At 50.6% G+C, this 16,674-nt stretch overlaps 6 annotated features.

Annotated features, from left to right (window-relative positions):
- Window positions 3,102–3,396: an enhancer, noted in NCBI's record as "tiled region #11671; HepG2 Activating DNase matched - State 20:ReprD, and K562 Activating DNase unmatched - State 4:PromP". NCBI's record gives its function as "activates a minimal TATA promoter and a strong SV40 promoter by Sharpr-MPRA in HepG2 and K562 cells {active_cell/tissue: HepG2 | K562}" and the evidence as "EXISTENCE:reporter gene assay evidence [ECO:0000049][PMID:27701403]".
- Window positions 3,102–3,615: a biological region, named in NCBI's record as "Sharpr-MPRA regulatory region 11671".
- Window positions 3,115–3,615: an enhancer, noted in NCBI's record as "H3K4me1 hESC enhancer chr19:30369922-30370422 (GRCh37/hg19 assembly coordinates)". NCBI's record gives its function as "activates a minimal SCP1, AML or CMV promoter by ChIP-STARR-seq in naive H9 embryonic stem cells {active_cell/tissue: H9 hESC(naive)}" and the evidence as "EXISTENCE:reporter gene assay evidence [ECO:0000049][PMID:30033119]".
- Window positions 3,272–3,331: a silencer, noted in NCBI's record as "silent region_10471". NCBI's record gives its function as "represses an Ori minimal core promoter by ATAC-STARR-seq in GM12878 lymphoblastoid cells {active_cell/tissue: GM12878}" and the evidence as "EXISTENCE:reporter gene assay evidence [ECO:0000049][PMID:35858748]".
- Window positions 5,001–5,060: a silencer, noted in NCBI's record as "silent region_10472". NCBI's record gives its function as "represses an Ori minimal core promoter by ATAC-STARR-seq in GM12878 lymphoblastoid cells {active_cell/tissue: GM12878}" and the evidence as "EXISTENCE:reporter gene assay evidence [ECO:0000049][PMID:35858748]".
- Window positions 6,331–6,866: an enhancer, noted in NCBI's record as "H3K4me1 hESC enhancer chr19:30373138-30373673 (GRCh37/hg19 assembly coordinates)". NCBI's record gives its function as "activates a minimal SCP1, AML or CMV promoter by ChIP-STARR-seq in primed H9 embryonic stem cells {active_cell/tissue: H9 hESC(primed)}" and the evidence as "EXISTENCE:reporter gene assay evidence [ECO:0000049][PMID:30033119]".

Genomic DNA, 16,674 nt, shown 5'->3' on the forward strand with positions numbered 1-16,674 from the left:
TGGGGATTAAAAGCCCCAAATGCCCCTGTATCATCCAGGACCCATTGGGTGGATTGCTCAATCTGGCCATCCAGGCGGAGTTTTATAAATAACTGTTTGCATGGGGGACCTCAGGAGGAGGAGTGGTACCCTGGGTCTAGTAGCAGTGGGCTGTTCCCATCCCTGGGGCCGCAGGGCTACGTGAGGAGGCGTTCTCTGACGCAGGGCAAGGTGGCTGTGTAGGCAGCACTCCCTGATAGCAGTGGTGACCGAAGAAGGAGGAGGAGCTCAGGGAACCCCCACTCTAGGTGCTCTCCTCTGCCCCCCAGTTTCCTGCTAGGGCCTCCCAGGTCCACCTGCCCAGAAGGCAGAGCGAGGCATCCACAGATAGAGTCTGTGGAGGGGTACACAGAGCCAGTGGAGGAGGGTGAAGGGGGTGTGCAGGGCAGAGGGGAGACTACCAGCTCCTCTCTCTTTTTTGAACCCGCTCCACCTCTCCAGCCTCCTTCTGTGTCTCCTGTGCTAAGTACCATTTCTCTTTCTTTCTCATGTTTCATCACCTCCGTCTCTCATTGACTCTCCTCTCTGTTTTCCTCTTGATATATCCTCCCCACTTCTCTGCTGCAGAAGAGGCGAGGTGAGTACCATTCACCTCTCCCAAGTGGTCCAGTGGCAGTGGGGCCCCCACGCACTCTACACCGTTGTTGTGTTGCTAGAGGAAGGAGAGCAGCTGAGCCCTGGGGACCTGGGGACGGGCTTCATTTGATTCTCTGCTCTTCCTCCTCTGAACTACTCTAAGTGAAGCCAATCAGGATTACTTTCATTTCATCACTTCAAGGACTTCCTCCTCGGAGTCTTTTCATCCTTCTCCTGCCTTGGCCTAGAATTAGGGAGGGGGAGTTAGTCCCCTCCTCTCTTCAGCCCCTCTGGCCAGCATCAAGCCCTTATTGAGAGCTCCAACTGTGCACCCAGCGTCAGAAATGATTTGGGGTGCCTGTGTCCGGAGCATACAGTCCTGACATGGGTGGGGACCCATGATCCATTCATTCAGTCATCGGACAGAATGCATCCAGGGCCACCCTGCTTGGGCTCCGGGCTAGACTTTTTTTTTTTTTTTTTTTTTGAGATGGAGTCTTGCTCTGTCACCCAGGCTGGAGTACAGTGGTGTGATTTCACTGCAACCTCTACCTCCCAGATTCAAGCAACCGATCCTACTACCTCAGGCTCTGGAGTAGTAGGGACTACAGGCATGGGCCACGAGCACCATCCCTGGCTAATTTTTTTTTTTTTTTTTTTTTAGTAGAGATGTGGTTTCACCACATTGGCCAGGGTAGTCTCAAACTCCTGACCTCAAGTGATGCAGCCACCTTGGTCTCCCAAAGTGCTGGGATTACAGGTGTGAGCCACTGGGCCCAGCTTTTTTTTTTTTTTTTTGAGACAGCCTTGCTCTGTCACCCAGGTTGGAGTACAGTGGCACTATCATGGCTCACTGCAGCCTCTAACTTCTGGACTCAAAAGATCCTCCTACCTCAGCCTCCTAAATAGCTAGGATTATAGGCATGCACCACCACACCCACTAATTGTTTTTTTTTTCCTTTTAATTTTTGTTGTTGTTTTGTTTTTTGTTTTTAGGCAGAGTCTTGCTCTGCCACCCAGGCTGAAGTGCAGTGGCATGATCTCAGGTCACTGCAACCTCTGCCTCCCGGGTTCAAGTGATTCTTGTGCCTCAGCCTCTCAAGTAGCTGGGATTAGATTTCGCACCACCATGCCTGGCTCATTTTTGTACTTTTAGTGGAGATGGGGTTTTCCCATGCTGGCCATGCTAGTCTCAAACTTCTGGCTTCAAACGATCCGTTGGCCTCAGCCTCCCAAAGTGCTGGGATTACAGGTGTGAGCCACCGTGCCCAGCCAATCTCTGGCCCTGATAGAGCAGATAGGGAAGGTGTGTAGCACAGTGGATCAGTAGATAAGCCCATCCAAGCCTCAGTCTCCTCTTCTCTTAAATGGGGATGAGAATCCCTACTCACAGGTTTGTGTGAAGGTAATATGACCTCACAGAGGGTTGCTTTCTTATTAAGTGGCAGGGACTTCTGCTCTGCCCCTGAAGCCCCCAAATACACATAAAAGGTGTAACCTCAGATGCAAGTAAGGAGGCACCACCAAGAGGGTAGAGGATACAGACCTGAAACACAAGGAGGAGATTGGCACCTCAGCTGGAACAGATGGGCTTGAGCCCCCGAATTCTGCTCGGGTTTTAAATTGAATAAAATAATCCCCAGAATGAATATCCCCTCTGTGAAGCACGTCCACTGTGAGGAAACCCCTAGTAACAGATCTCACCATGGCACAAAGAAAATCCTGCTCTCATAGTCTTGGATGATATATACAGCCAGCTAATGCAAAAAAAATTTCATGTTATTTTTGCTTATTTTTAAGTCCACTGGGTGCATCGTGGCTGATCGCTGTTCTGACATTTTTCTTCCCTCATTAAGAAAGATGCCCCTGGTGAGATACCTGTGCTGGGCTCAGAGCAGAAAATAAATATCGCTGGCATCCACTTTCCTATACTCTCTGGGTGTAATTAAGAAAAAGGCACCTGCAGGAGAGAGAAAGTGCAGGGTAGAAAATGGCCCAGTGGTTACTGCTCATGAGAACTCCCCAGTCTTCATAACCATCCAAATGTCACTCCTTCCATGACATTCTTCTTCTTCTTCTTCTTTTTTTTTTTCCTGAGAGAGGGTCTCGCTGTGTCGCCCAGGCTGCAGTGCAGTGGTGTGATCATAGTGAGCTATGATCAGCCTCGAGTGAGCCCGAGGGAGCAGCCTCGACCTCCTGGGCTCTAATGATCCTCCCGCCTCAGCCTCCCGAGTAGCAGGGACCACAGGCGTATGCCACCACGCCAGTCTACATATATATATTTATTTTTTGTAGAGATACCGTCTCACTGTTGCCCAGGCTGGTCTGGAACTCCTGGGCTCAAGCAATCCTTCCGCCTCAGCTTCCCAGAGTCCTGGAATTACAGGCTGGAGCTGCTATGCCGGACCCATTACAACCTCCTGGATCTGCCGGGGTCCCCCTCCATCTCTGAGCCCTAACACTTCCCTTTGGGGACTTTTCCTTTCCATTGCGGTTTTGCTTTTCCCCCTTCACACGTCTCTTATCCCAGCTGTAGTTGGCTGTCTTGTTTGTTTTGTCCAAGTCACCCTGCTTTTCTTTGGAGGACCCATCCATGACTCACAGTCCATGTGATTTAGGTAGAGCTCCAGCAGGGAGTGGCACTACCCAGGAATGGCCAACCAATGAGGGCACAGAAGTGCAGCTGCAGGCCACTGTGATTGGTTCAGGGGTGGGCAGTGAGCTAAGCTGAACCAATCAGAACGAATCCCAAGATATGGCGGGGAAGTGCTGAACAAGCCCCTCTCCTTGAGCTGAGGCTGGGACTGAAGTTGTAGTCGCCTTTGGCGCCACTGGGGAGAGCCTGCCTGTGAAAGAATTCCACTCCGAGGACAGCTGAGCCTCTCATGACAATCTGGGTCCTGATGCCGCTGTTTGAGCCCCTGGGTGCAGGGCTGCTGGAAACTTCCGGAAGGAGATTGCTCTTCTCTCTGGGAGACGTCCCCGGGGAAGCTTCAGACCCTGCCATCTCGTCCATCCCCACCATGCCCACCACCGCTCTGGCTGAGGCAGCTCCCTGCGGAGTCCTGCTCCGGGCTCAGTCTCCCAGAGAGGCAGAGTCGGGCACCGTGGGCATGGGAGACCTGCAGCCTGCCTGGTTCTCAGCTCTCAGGGGCTGGCCAGGGTCACAGTTACTGTAGCCCAGGGGGATTCTGTGAGAGACAGATGGGCTAATTTGGCTCGTTCGTCATTTTTAATGCCCTAATTTCCTGTTTTACACGCAGAAATGGCCCATAAATGGCACAGCAGGCTTCAGGGAGCTGAACTTGTACTTCCCGCTGGGACTGACTTACTCCTACTTTTTGGAATCAGGTGCACCTGCAGCCGTTCAGGAGCTGGCTGGCCGACTGTCCCAGTACCTCCTTGGTCACCTTCATACGGAGCTTTGGTCCTTCAACTTTGGAAAGGGTTTTGATTACCGAATGCCAGGCTCTCTTTCAGTCGGATTTTCCTTTGCCCCACTTTATTTCATTTTGCTTTTTTTTTTTTAAATTATTTTCTGGGCTAGGAGCCGGGGCTCATGCCTGTAATGCTAGCACTTTGGGACACCAAAGCGGGTGGATCATGAGGTTCGGAGTTCAAGACTAGCCCGGCCAGCACGGTGAAACCTCATCTCTACTAAAAATACAAAAATATTAGCTGGGTTTGGTGGTACACCCCTGTAGTCCCAGCTACTCAGGAGGCTGAGGCATGAGAATCACTTGAACCTGGGGGGTGGAGGTTACAGCGAGCCGAGATCACGACACTGCACTGGGTGACAGATGAGACTCTGTCTCAAAAAAAAAATTATTTTCCGTAGAGATGGGGGTCTTTCTATGTTGTCCAGGCTGGTCTTGAAATGCTGGGCTCAAGCAATCCTCCCACCTTGGCTTCCCAAAGCACTGAGATGACAGGCATGAGCTACTGTGCCCAGCCCATTTGCCCCACTTTGCACACTTTCTCCTCTCTTGTCACCTTTCCTTCCATTACCTTCAAATGTGCTCATCAAACCGTGAGCCCCTATGAGGCACTGGGCGTGCACACCCTGAGCAGAGGCCTCCCTGATGCTCCACGCCCATGTAGCTTTAGTTTCTGCTGTTCCTCTCTCCTAGGGTGTCTTGTTCCTTCCCTGCATAACCCTTATCATGGTCTGCCATTGCTGAGCATTTTGTTATGGTTGTTTATTGGGTTCACTGCTGTTACACTGTCAGTTCTCAGAAGACAGAAACTGATTTCTTTTTCTCCTTAAGAACGTTTGCATCCAGCTCAGAGACTGGCCCACGGAGGGCCCTAGAGAAACACCCAGGGCGTGACCGAGTGGGTGGGTGTGAGTGTGCCGCACCCTGGCCCTGGTGCTGGAGGGGAACCAAGCAGAACCTGCCCCAACACTGCTCCCAGGAGGCTCAGCTTCTAGAGGGGTAGCGGTGGGAGAGGGGTTGGTGGGGTGTGGTGAGCTGTCCTAAGTGCAAGTGCAGATCAGAGTCTGAGCTGCAGCTGGGAGAGGGAGACAGGAAGCCTGCCCAGCAGCGGGGAGCCTGGGGTGGACTCTTTTTTTTTTTTTTTTTTTTTGTCAGAGACAGGGTCTCACACTGTCACCGAGGGTGGAGTGCTGTGGTGTAATCTCAGCTCACTGCAGCCTCGACCTCCCGAACTCAAGAGATCCTTCCATCTCAGCCTCCCAAGTACCTGGGAATACAAGTGCATGCCACCACACTCGGCTAATTTTTTGTTGTTGTTATTTTTTGTAGAGACAGGGTCTCACTATATTGCACAGGCTCGTCTTGAACTCCTGGGCTCATCAAGGAATCCTCCTGCCTTGACTGCCCATAACGCTGAGATTACAGGCATGAGCCACCTTGCCCCGCCTTGGGTGGACTCTTGACTGAAACACAGAACTTTAAGAGAAATGCAGAAATAAGAGAATGGGGGCTGCCATCCAATGCTTGATCATATTCGTCTCCTGCTTTGCTTTCTGATCCTGACTTCCCATGGAGGAATTCAGCCTTAGGAGCAGAAATGGGCTGTGGTTTCTAATCTGCCCCACATCATTCAGCACAGGGCTGGGCTGCGTGGCCTGTGACTAATCAGCGCTCACCCATAAGAAATGGTGTGCATCTGCAAATGTCGTGGTGTCCCTTGCAATGCCCTATTTCAGGTCTGCAGTGGGTGAGGGATGGGCAGGGAAGCACAGTGAATTATGTGACACCAGCCTGGAATGGCTTCATCCAACAAAGGGCTGACATTTTCTCTTGGTTTATTTTGAGATGGAGTCTCAAAAATCTGATTACAGATCACGCCTGTAATCTCAACACTTTGGGAAGTCAAGGCAGGAGGATTCCTTGATGAGCCCAGGAGTTCGAGACCAGCCTCTGCAACATAGTGAGACCCTGTCTCCACAGTTGCCCAGGCTGGAGGGCAGTGGCGCGATCTCGGCTCACTGAAACCTCCGCCTCTTGGGTTCAAGCGATTCTCCTGCCTCAGCCTCCCGAGTAGCTGGGATTACAGGCATGCACCACCATGCCTGGCTAATTTTTGTATTTTTAGTAGAGACAGGGTTTCACCATATCTGGTCTCGAACTTCTGACCTCAAGTGATCCCCCCAGCTGGGCCTCTCAAAATGCTGGGATTACAGACATGAGCCACCGGCCCGGCCAGGAGTGACATGTTCATTCCAAGAGCCCATCTCTGTTCCTGTATTATTTACAACGGACGCTGGCCTTTCGGACCCCCAAACATGTAAGTGGTTCTAGCTCGAGGAGAGGTGTGAGGCATGTGCTATGGGTTCAAGTCCCAGCTCTACCACTGAGTAGTGAAAGGCCTGGGGAAGCTCCTTAACCTCTCACAGGCTTACTTCCTGCCCCTGAGAAGTGGGAGCAGTGGGTAGCCCCAGGCGAGGGTGGGGGTTGGGGCAATGCCTGGCCCATAATGAAGCACCCTCTGCCGAGCCTCTGCGTGGCTGCCCCGAAGCCTGGGTGCAAGGCCCCTCTGTCACCTCTGGAGTACTTGCCTCCATCAAAGAAGGGAGCAGCTGCCTCCTGCCGGTGTTAGCCAGGCATAGGCTCTCTGCCCTCCCTGCCTGGGCTTTGTGTATTCTTGGTGTTCAAAAGGTATCTCTTGAATGATGTGTGAACAACTGGTAGAAACTCATCAGCACTTATGGAAATAGCACACCAAGTTGTCAACTGCCCGTAAACCCTTTGCCATCCCTCCGGTGGCAGCATGTTCCCCGCTGGTGGGGAGAAAGGGCCTTGCTTGGTCTCATGGACCAGCCAGGCAGGCAAGGAGGCCGCAAACACAGGACTAATAGCACCCTCGTGGCCTGCCCCCAGCCCTCATTTCAGAACGTGGCCCTTCCTGAAGCCGCTTTAGCTGGCTGGGGGAGGGGTGGGGTTGGAGGGGTGGAGACGGTAGCGGTTCTCCACCTTCCCTCTGCCCCGCTGTGCCGCCCAGCAGATGGGGAGTTAGCACGTCACAGGTGCAGCTCCACTTTGGTCACCTGGAGGCTCTGCTTGCAAATGTGGGGCTGGTGCTTGGAATTCAAGATGCCCAATAAAGGATCCATCCACAGCGGCTGCCCACGGGAGCCATCTCTCTGTGGCTCCCAGGAGCCAGGAGGGCCTGGAGCTGGGGACAGGGGGAAGTTCTGATTTTAAATTGGGGAATTCTGACATCAGCCCAGTCTCGTTCCCCAGAAAGAAACTGGTCCCGTCTGCCGTCTTTCCAGATAGTTCCTTCTGGAGCAGAAGTAGTCCAAATTCCAAACCTCTGATTACTGACATTTGCGGTTAGTTTTTTGGTATTATTTTTATACAGGAAAACTTGTTCTGAATAATGCAACTTTACACAGACACTCTCACCACTGGGCCTCACCAAGTCCTGATTTTCAAAACACTCAGAGCCCTTCCTGAGCTCACCTGAGAGATGCTGTCTTTGGAGTTTGTTCCTGATGAGTTTTAGAGAGCTTTTCTTTTTCTTTGTTTCTTTGTTTCTTTCTCTGTTTCTTTCTTTTTTTATTTTTGGTTTTGTTTTTTGAGATAGGGTCTTTCTCTGTCACCCAGGCTGCAGTGCAGTGGTATGATCTCCGTTCACTGCAACCTCGGTCTCCTGGCTTCTAGTGATTCTCCTGCCTGAACCTCCCAAGTAACAGGAATTACAGGTGTGCACTACCATGCCCAGCAAATTTTTTTTTTTTTTTTTTTTGAGACAGAGTCTTGCTCTGTCACCCAGGCTGGAGTACAGTGGCACGATCTTGGCTCACTGCAAGCTCCGCCTCCCAGGTTCACGCCATTCTCCTGCCTCAGCCTCCTGAGTAGCTGGGACTACGGGCGCCCGCCACCGTGCTCGGCTAATTTTTTGTATTTCTTTAATAGAGGCAGGGTTTCACCGTGTTAGCCACGACGGTCTCGATCTCCTGACCTCGTGATCCACCCGCCTTGGCCTCCCAAAGTGCTGGGATTACAGGCGTGAGCCACCGCACCCAGCCTCCAGCTAATTTTTATATCTACTAAAAGTAGAGATGGGTTTTCACCATGTTGGCCAGGTTGGTCTCGAACTCCTGACCTCAAGTGATCCACCTGCCTTGGCCTCCCAAAGTGCTGGGATTACAGGTGTAAGCCACTGCACCCTTCTTTTCTTTCTTTTCTTTCTTTCCTTCTCTCCCTCCCTCCCCTTCCTCCTTCTCTCCCTCTCACCTTTCCTTCCTTCTTCCTTCTTCCTTTCCTTTCCTTTCCTCTCCTTCTCCTTCCCCTTCCCCTTCCCATTCTCATTCCCTTCCTTCTCTCTCTTTCTTTCTTTTCTTCTTTCCTAAAGCAGGGGTTACACAAATTAAGGTGAACCGAATACATCTATATTTAGCAAGTGAATGCTTTAACTTCAACACACATAGATACTTCCTAGAAACCCTCCCCAACACAGCGACAACAGGCTGCATTGGGGGCTCATCAGGAATGAGTGGCCTGGGCAGAATGGCCCTCCAACCCCTCGCACTGCCCTGCCCATAACCGGCCCTGCCCTTGAGGGCTTTTGGGAAAAGGTAGGAGGGGCAGAAATAACCTTGACTTTCAGCCAAGGCAGAAGAGCCAGAGGATGGCTGCTGCTCCTGGCCTGCGCACTGCGGCTCCTGGAAGCCAAGACGGGCAGGCTTGTGTGGCCGCGGTGAGCAAGGAGGGCAGCCATCCCATGCAGATGTGTGGGAGGGGCGGGGAGGCAGCCAGGAGTAGCTGTGTCAGGCAGGCCAGGCCAAGGTCCTGGACTGGCCTCCTTGAAAAGCAGCCCCTCATCCCTGATAGCCCAGGGTTGCGGGGAGCCATTGGGGGATGGTCTGAGATGATGTCTCCGGACCCCGTGCAGGAGTTTTGTTACGACAAATCTAGTCCCTTCTCAGCTCCTATGGTGACAAGAAGCTCCAGCTATTTTATTTTGTTTTGTTTACTTTAGAGATGGGATTTTGCTGTGTTGCCCAGGCTGGAGTGCAGTGGCCCCATCTCAGCTCACTGCAGCCTCAAATTCCTGGGCTCAAGCGATCCTCCCACCTCAGCCTCCTGAGTACCTGGGACTACAGGCATGTGCCACAACGCCTTGCTAATATTTTGATTTTTAAAAAATTTATTTTTATGTATTTATTTTTTGTGTGGAGATCTGGAATTCTTGGGCTCACACGATCCTCCTTCCTCGGCCTCCCAAAGCACTGGGATTTCAGGCATGAGCCCCACAGTCCAGCCAGCTCCAGCTTTTATTTACTTTTTATTTTTTTGAGACAAAGAGTCTCGCTCTGTCACCCAGGCTGGAGTGCAGTGGTGTGATCTCAGCTCACGCAACCTCCACCTCCTGGGTTCAAGCGCTTCTCATGCCTCAGCCTCCAGAATATCTGGGACTACAGGTGTGTACCACTACACCTGGCTAATTTTTGTATTTTTTGTAGAGACAGGGTTTCGCCAGGTTGGCTGGGCTGGTCTCAAACTCCTGGCCCCAAGTGATCCCCCACTTTGGCCTCCCAAAGTGTTGGGATTACAGGCGTGAGCCACCGCACCTGGCCCAGCTCTAACTTTTAAACCTGCTCACTGGCTGGCTCTCTTCTCGACTTCTTGGGACCTGAGTTGTCCTTCATCTCTGTGACCTACCTGACAGGTGTTTCTGGGGTCCAGCCTGAAGCACCTGGCTGGTGAGATCAGAGTCCAATTCTCACCCTCTTCCCAGGACCCCCTCCCAGCTCCTGAGCCTGTCAACCCTGGCTATGCACAGCCCTCGCCTGAGAAGCGTCTTCAAAATTCTAGTGCCTTCTCCTCCCTTCAATTCCAGGATAATGGCACACACAGCACCAGTCAGGCCCTGGCCTGTGTTGCAGGCACACCTCCGATACATTTTGACCTGCATGCCAACTGCAGAACCTAAACCCAGGCAGGGGTCACTCCCCAGCAGGGTGCTGAGGTTCAAAGAGCTCGAAGGAAATACCTGCCTGGGAAGACAGGTGACAGGTGACTGAGTTCCTCTCCAGAACTTTCCAGACAATAATCAGGCTGTGTGTCAAATTCACCAAGATTTAGCTCCAGACCCAGCTGATCTGCAGCCAGGATGCTATTGGGAGCATCACTGCTTCCGTCTTTGACCCATCTTTCCACGTGGCCCCCCAGACAGAGAGCACTTCCAACCTATGCATAAAAATACAGGGGAAAGGCCAGGTGCAGTGGCTCATGCCTGTAATCCCAGTACTTTGGGAGACCGAGGCCATTGGATCACTTGAGGTCAGGAGTTCGAGACCAGCCTGGCCAACGTGGCGAAACCCCGCCTCTACTAAAAATATAAAAGTTAGCTGGGCATGGTGGTGGGCACCTGTAATCCCAACTACTCAGGAAGCCAAGGCAGGAGAATCACTTGAACCCAGGAGGTGGAGGCTGCAGTGAGCCAAGATCATGCCAGTTATACAACAGCCTGGGTCTGTCTCAAAAAAAAAAAAAAAAAAAAAAAGGGAGCAGAGCGGGGGAAGAAAAAAAAAAAAACCCAGAGAGCACTGTTATTTACCCTGATGCCTCATTTTCAAGCATGCATTGTGAATAGAGCTGACCACAGTAGCACAGGTCTCACCGTAGGCCTCCAGGAACACCCTGCAACCTCAGTCTGCCCCTCCACATTCATTTCCAGGAAACTGGAGTTGATCGTTAATTCTCAGACATCCTTTGGTGCAGACTGGAGGATATCAATGAACATGAACACATGCGAGAGTTCCTGTACGGAGCTGTGGACCATAAACCACGCATGCTGTCCCGGTGGCAAGTCAGGGGGCTTTCTGGGTAGTTCTGCTTTCTCTCCCTGTATGGAGAGTTCCACAGTGACTCTGGGGCAGGCAGGGTTGAGGGCCCCTTATCAGTCACCTGGTCCCTCCTCTCCTTCCCAATGTCACCCCCATTCTGCTGACCTCAATCCCTGCTCTCCAGCTACAGATACATTTCCTTGATCTTCACCTTGAAGCCTGGGCCCTTGCTCTTCTCTATTCCTGGCACATCCTCCTCACAGATCTTTACATAGCAGGTTGATTCTCACCCTTTAAGTCTTGCTCAAGGTCACCTCCTCTGAGAAACCCTCCCTGACCACCCAGGCTAAAGGAATCCCCGCCACCCCTCCCCTCCCACCCGCCCCCCGCCGCACAAAATGCTTCCCACACCTGCCACATCTGGGTCAGTCTCCTGTCTGTAGAGTGCAAGTTCACAGCTCTAGTTACAGCAGCTACAACTGTGTCTGGAGCTGGGGTACTACCCCATTTAACCATCTGTTGATTAATGCACTTGATTAACATCAGAGGACGTAAGGTCCTCGTAAAGCTAAGAAAGAATTTAGGAGAATGACTAGGGCTGGCCACATTAGCAATGGACCCACAGTAGGAGGCTTCAGGGACACCCTGCCTGTGTCCCTCCAGTGTTCACTGCTCCCTTGCATGAGACCCAGAAAGGGGCTGGCACTCTGCTTGGGGAAAGGCTCTGCCTCCAGGAGACTGCTCTGTTGTGTGCAGAACAAGGGGGAAGTGCCAGAAATTAATGGCCCAGGGAACAGCCTTCAGCAATGATGAAGAGAAGTTGGATAAGTAGCCCAGCTCTCATGTCTACGGGATGGGTCAAGGCTGAGTCTGCACTGCCTCCCAGAGGCCCCAGTAGAGGGGCTGCCTGCAGCAGTATCTGCTCAGTCATACACCCCTACACGTGTACACTAGGAAGGAAGTGCTGGCTTCCTTCCCTTCCCTGCTGCACACAACACTCCCTGAAACATGCCTGCAAGAACCACCCCTTGGCTCAGCAGCTTTGCAGTGATGAATCCAACCTCTGCAGAAAAGGCACCCTGGTGTTCTAATTCCTGGGCATGGACAAACTGCCCCGAGGAGGATGAGAGGTGTCTCCTTCACCTCTGATGTTGGGTCTCAGGTTCCTGGGTAAAGGGACTCCTTTGGTTTCCTGGCTCCTGCCCCACAGACAAATTAAACTGGACAAGGTGACAAAAGGAGTCATTTGGAAAAGTCTTGGGACAGGGCTTAGTGGCTCATGACTGTAATCCCAGCACTTTGGGAAGTTGAAGCCAGGAGTTTGAGAACACCCTGGGCAACACAGTGAGACTCCATCTCCACAAAATTTTTTCAGACTTAGCAGAGTGAGGTGACATGTGTCTGTAGCTTCTTGAGAGGCCAAGTCAGGAGGATCACTTGAGCCTGAGTTCAAGGCTGCAGTAAGCTATGATCGCACCACTGCACTTTAGCCTGGGCAACAGAGCAAGACCCTGTCTCTAAAAAAAAAAAAAAGAAAAAGAAAAAGAAAAGTCAGGCCGGGTGCGGTGGCTCACACCTGTAATCCCAGTACTTTGGGAGGCCAAGGCAGGTGGATCACCTGAGGTCAGGAGTTTGAGATCAGCCTGGCCAACATGGCAAGACCCCATCTCTACTAAAAAATACAAAAATTAGCTGGTCTTGGTGGTAGGCACCTGTAATCCCAGCTACTCAAGAGGCTGAGGCAGGAGAATTGCTTGAACTCTGGAGGCGGAGGTTGCAGTGAGCCAAGATCACACCATTGCACTCCAGCCTGGGCGACAAGAGTTAAACTCTGTTTCACCAAAAAAAAAAAAAAGAAGGAAAGTCAAAGTCTTGTGGCTAAAGACGGCAGGTGGAATGAGGAGTGGGAGAGAAGGGCGGGGAAAGGAGGTGAGATGCCTGGAGAAGTTGAGGTCCAGGGAACCAACTCCACCCAGAGCAAGCTCTCTGCAGGCAGGACTCAAGCAACAGCCGCAGATGGGAGCAAAAAAAGTTTTGCTACTCCTCCCTCCCAGAGATATTTCTAAGAGCTCCATTTTCTTTCCAGTTGGCTAAGAAGCAAAAAAGGAACAATAGATTCAAGCTGAAATAATTTGCATTTATGATGAACACAAGGAATATCTACCTTGCATTTTCCTAAAAAAGAAAAATTAAACCCCATTTTTAATTAACTGATAAACTATTAATCAAATTTTTGCAATGTTAGGTGACACATTATTCATTTAGATAGAATGACTGTGAACTTAAACTAATCAAATCTGATTTGCCCACATAGGCTTGATTGAAATACATTTTAACTAGCATATACAAAGAGAAAATCTTGGATTTCTTACCTAATCTTCAGAGTATACTGCTGAGTTAATAAGGGCAGTTTTTTTTTTAAATGAGACCACCATTTCTTCATCTGCATATCAAAATCAAGAGGAACTTAATTGCAAAACACATATTCCTGAAATCTAATCATTACACTGCTTTAGGGTATTTTATTGAAGCATGTTAAATTATGGACAGAATATTAATGATGAAACTAATCAAACCCAATTAGTCACTTCTAACAATAGTCACATAAATATACAAGTCAGGTACTAAAGTACTGTAGATATGATGTAAAAATGGTTAAAATCTTAAATGTATGGAATATTTATGAAATATTCATGTTGAATTTAAAGCCAAAAATTATTGGGGTAAGTCACTTTAAAGAAAATAAATTAGGCAGTGTCCTATACTGTTTGACCGGAATTCACAAGTTCACATTTTCTTCAGGTATCTTTGAATCTAGGAGATTAGTGAGTCTATAATCAATCAATCAGCAAAATTTTAATAAGATGACTTACCATATTCATGACCTAGTATTTCATTCTTGCATCCAGAGACTTTTTTTTGGATTTTTGTTTTCTGACTTTTTCAAGGCCTTTTGGAAAGGGGTCTCCAGGCCTTGGAAAAGCAGATGGAGTGGTGGATGATTTCTGGGGTTGGGGATTTGCCATCCACACTGTCTCCTTCCCTGCCTCCAGCCCCAGGTGCAGAACTTGCTCTAGGGGCAAAAGCAGTGAGGACAGAACAGAGGAGTCACTGCCCAGGGGGCCTCCTCCTCCTCCTCTCATACCTGAGGCTGCAGAGGAAGCTGAAGGGCCCAGGGGAGCTCCTGGCCTTGGCCTGTGAGGATTCTTGGTGGAAGATTCCAGGCTGGGGAGCCAGGCCAAAGCAGACAGGCAGTACTGGGTCTGGGGTTCCCCAGGCAGAGACCTCCCTCTGCTTCAGTTCAAGCCAGTCCCTTCTGGCTACCTGGGCCCAGACTCCAGCATCCACACATATACAGCCAGCAGTTTCATCACGTGGTAGCTACAGCTGCCTTCTTAATCAAGGAGGTTGTCAAGCCTCACCATTTGCTTTTCTGGCCCTTACCCTGTTCTGCTGTCCACTCCTGATCCCCCATTTCCTCCCTCCAGACTTCTTTCCAGGATGCTGCATTCCTACCACGTGTGCTGGGAATCTCAGCTCCTGGAGAAAGCCGGTCAGCGGCTCTGGGCCCTGCTCTGGCCAGACATCTCAAGTGGAGCACCACAGGAAATAGGAAACATTGTTCATTCATTCATCCATCCACCCATCTATCCCATCCACCCACCCATCCACCCATCCATGCATCCATTCACCCATCCATCCATCCATGTACCCATTCATGCACACATCTATCCATCCATCTACCCATGAATCTATCCCATCCATCCACCCACACATCCATCTACCCATTCATCCACCCATCTATCCATCCATCTACTCATGAATCTATCCCATCCACCCACCCATGCATCCATCTACGCATCCTTCTGCCCATCTATCCATCCATCTACTCATGAATCTATCCCATCCATCCACCCATGCATCTGTGTACCCATTCAGGCATCCATCTATCCATCCACCTACCCATGCATCTATCCCATCCACCCACCCATCCATGCATCTAGTCATCCATCCTTCCATCCGTCCATCCATCCATCCATCCATCAATCCACATACCCATTAATCCACCCGTCTATCCATCTACCCATGCATTTATCCCATCCATCCACCCATGCATCCATCTACCCTTCCATCCACCCATCTATCCATCCATCTATCCCACCCACCCACCCATCCATCCATGCATCCATGCATCCATGCATCCATGCATCCTTCCATCCATCCATCCACATACCCATTCATCCACCCATCTATCCATCCATCTACCAATGCATCTATCCCATCCATCCACCCATGCATCCATCTACCAATCCATCCACCCATCTATTCATCCATCTATCCCACCCACCCATCCATGCATCTATTCACCCATCCATCCATCCATGTACCCATTCATCCACCCATCTATCCATCCATCTACCAATGCATCTATCCCATCCATCCACCCATGCATCCATCTACCAATCCATCCACCCATCTATTCATCCATCTATCCCACCCACCCATCCATGCATCTATTCACCCATCCATCCATCCATGTACTCATTCATCCACCCATCTATCCATCCATCTACCTACGAATCTATCCATCTATCCACCCATTCATCCACCCATCTATCCATGGGTAGGTAGATACTCATGCATCTATCCCACCCACCCACCCACCCACCCATCCATGCATGCATGCATCCATCCATCCATGCATCAACCCACCCTTCCATCTATCCATCCATCCATCCATCCATCCATCCATCCATCCATCCATGCATCCCATAAACATTTACCAAAGACAAATATGTCCCGGGCCCAGTGCTGGACTCTCCCCAAGCCTGGGGAGCATATTAAAGAAGTAGACTTTGTGTTGCTTTTTCCCGCATGGCATGCATGCTCCTGCTTCAGAGAAAGACATCTGTATTGTCCCTTGAAGGACCCCTCTGCCCCACTTTTATTCCCTAAGGTCTAGGGGGCTGCTCCATCCCCTCAATCCACTGGCCATGTGATCCAGGCCTGCCCTAGTCCCTGAGATGGGCTCACAGGTGGGTACATGACCAGGGTGTCATCCTGGCACTTTTGCTGGAACTAAAAGAGGAGATAAGCCCTTTGCTGCTTGGGGTCTCTTGGGGGAGAGGTTGGGACCATGACATGGAGATGGCCTGCCTGAGACTGAAGCCGACAGAGGAGAGGAGGCCAAGTCCTTATGACATCGACTGGGCTCCCGGAGCCCACTCTGCCTGGAAGTTTCCACTTACCTGAGCCAATAATATTTTTTCCTTTAGCCAGGTTGAATTGTATTTTCTGTCACTTACAACCAAAGGAGTCTTGGCTCATAGAGAAGATAAACAGGAAAGACACTATCCAATGCCACTTCCTCCATGAAGTCTTCCCTGATTCTTGCCAGCTCCATTGGATATTTTCCTGCTTAGAAGCCTGGCGGGGGAGGAGGGATTGTTCTTATGGATCTCTCATGACCTTAGCTTTTTATGCCTTGGAGTATAAAGGGGAAATCTGGGTGCAAAGCCTGTATATGCATTTGAGTGGGGACAAAGCAGCAGAAAGAAAGATACAGAGTTAAGCACAAGATCTTAGCGGAAGATGAAAACCTCAGCCAAATATAAGTGGGGGACTCTGCAGTGAGGCAAGTGGACACCTCAGAGGACATGGGAGTGAGAGTGGTGTTGAAATCACCCAGTTCTAAGCTACAGGGAGAGGGTAGTGCTCTTGGCCTTGGTGCATATCTGTGACCCAGGTCCCCTATCCAACCATGAGCCTCCAACGCAGGCAAGAAGCCGGCCTCT

This window comes from Homo sapiens, chromosome 19 (genome assembly GCF_000001405.40).
Source record: "Homo sapiens chromosome 19, GRCh38.p14 Primary Assembly".
Classification (NCBI taxonomy): domain Eukaryota; kingdom Metazoa; phylum Chordata; class Mammalia; order Primates; family Hominidae; genus Homo; species Homo sapiens.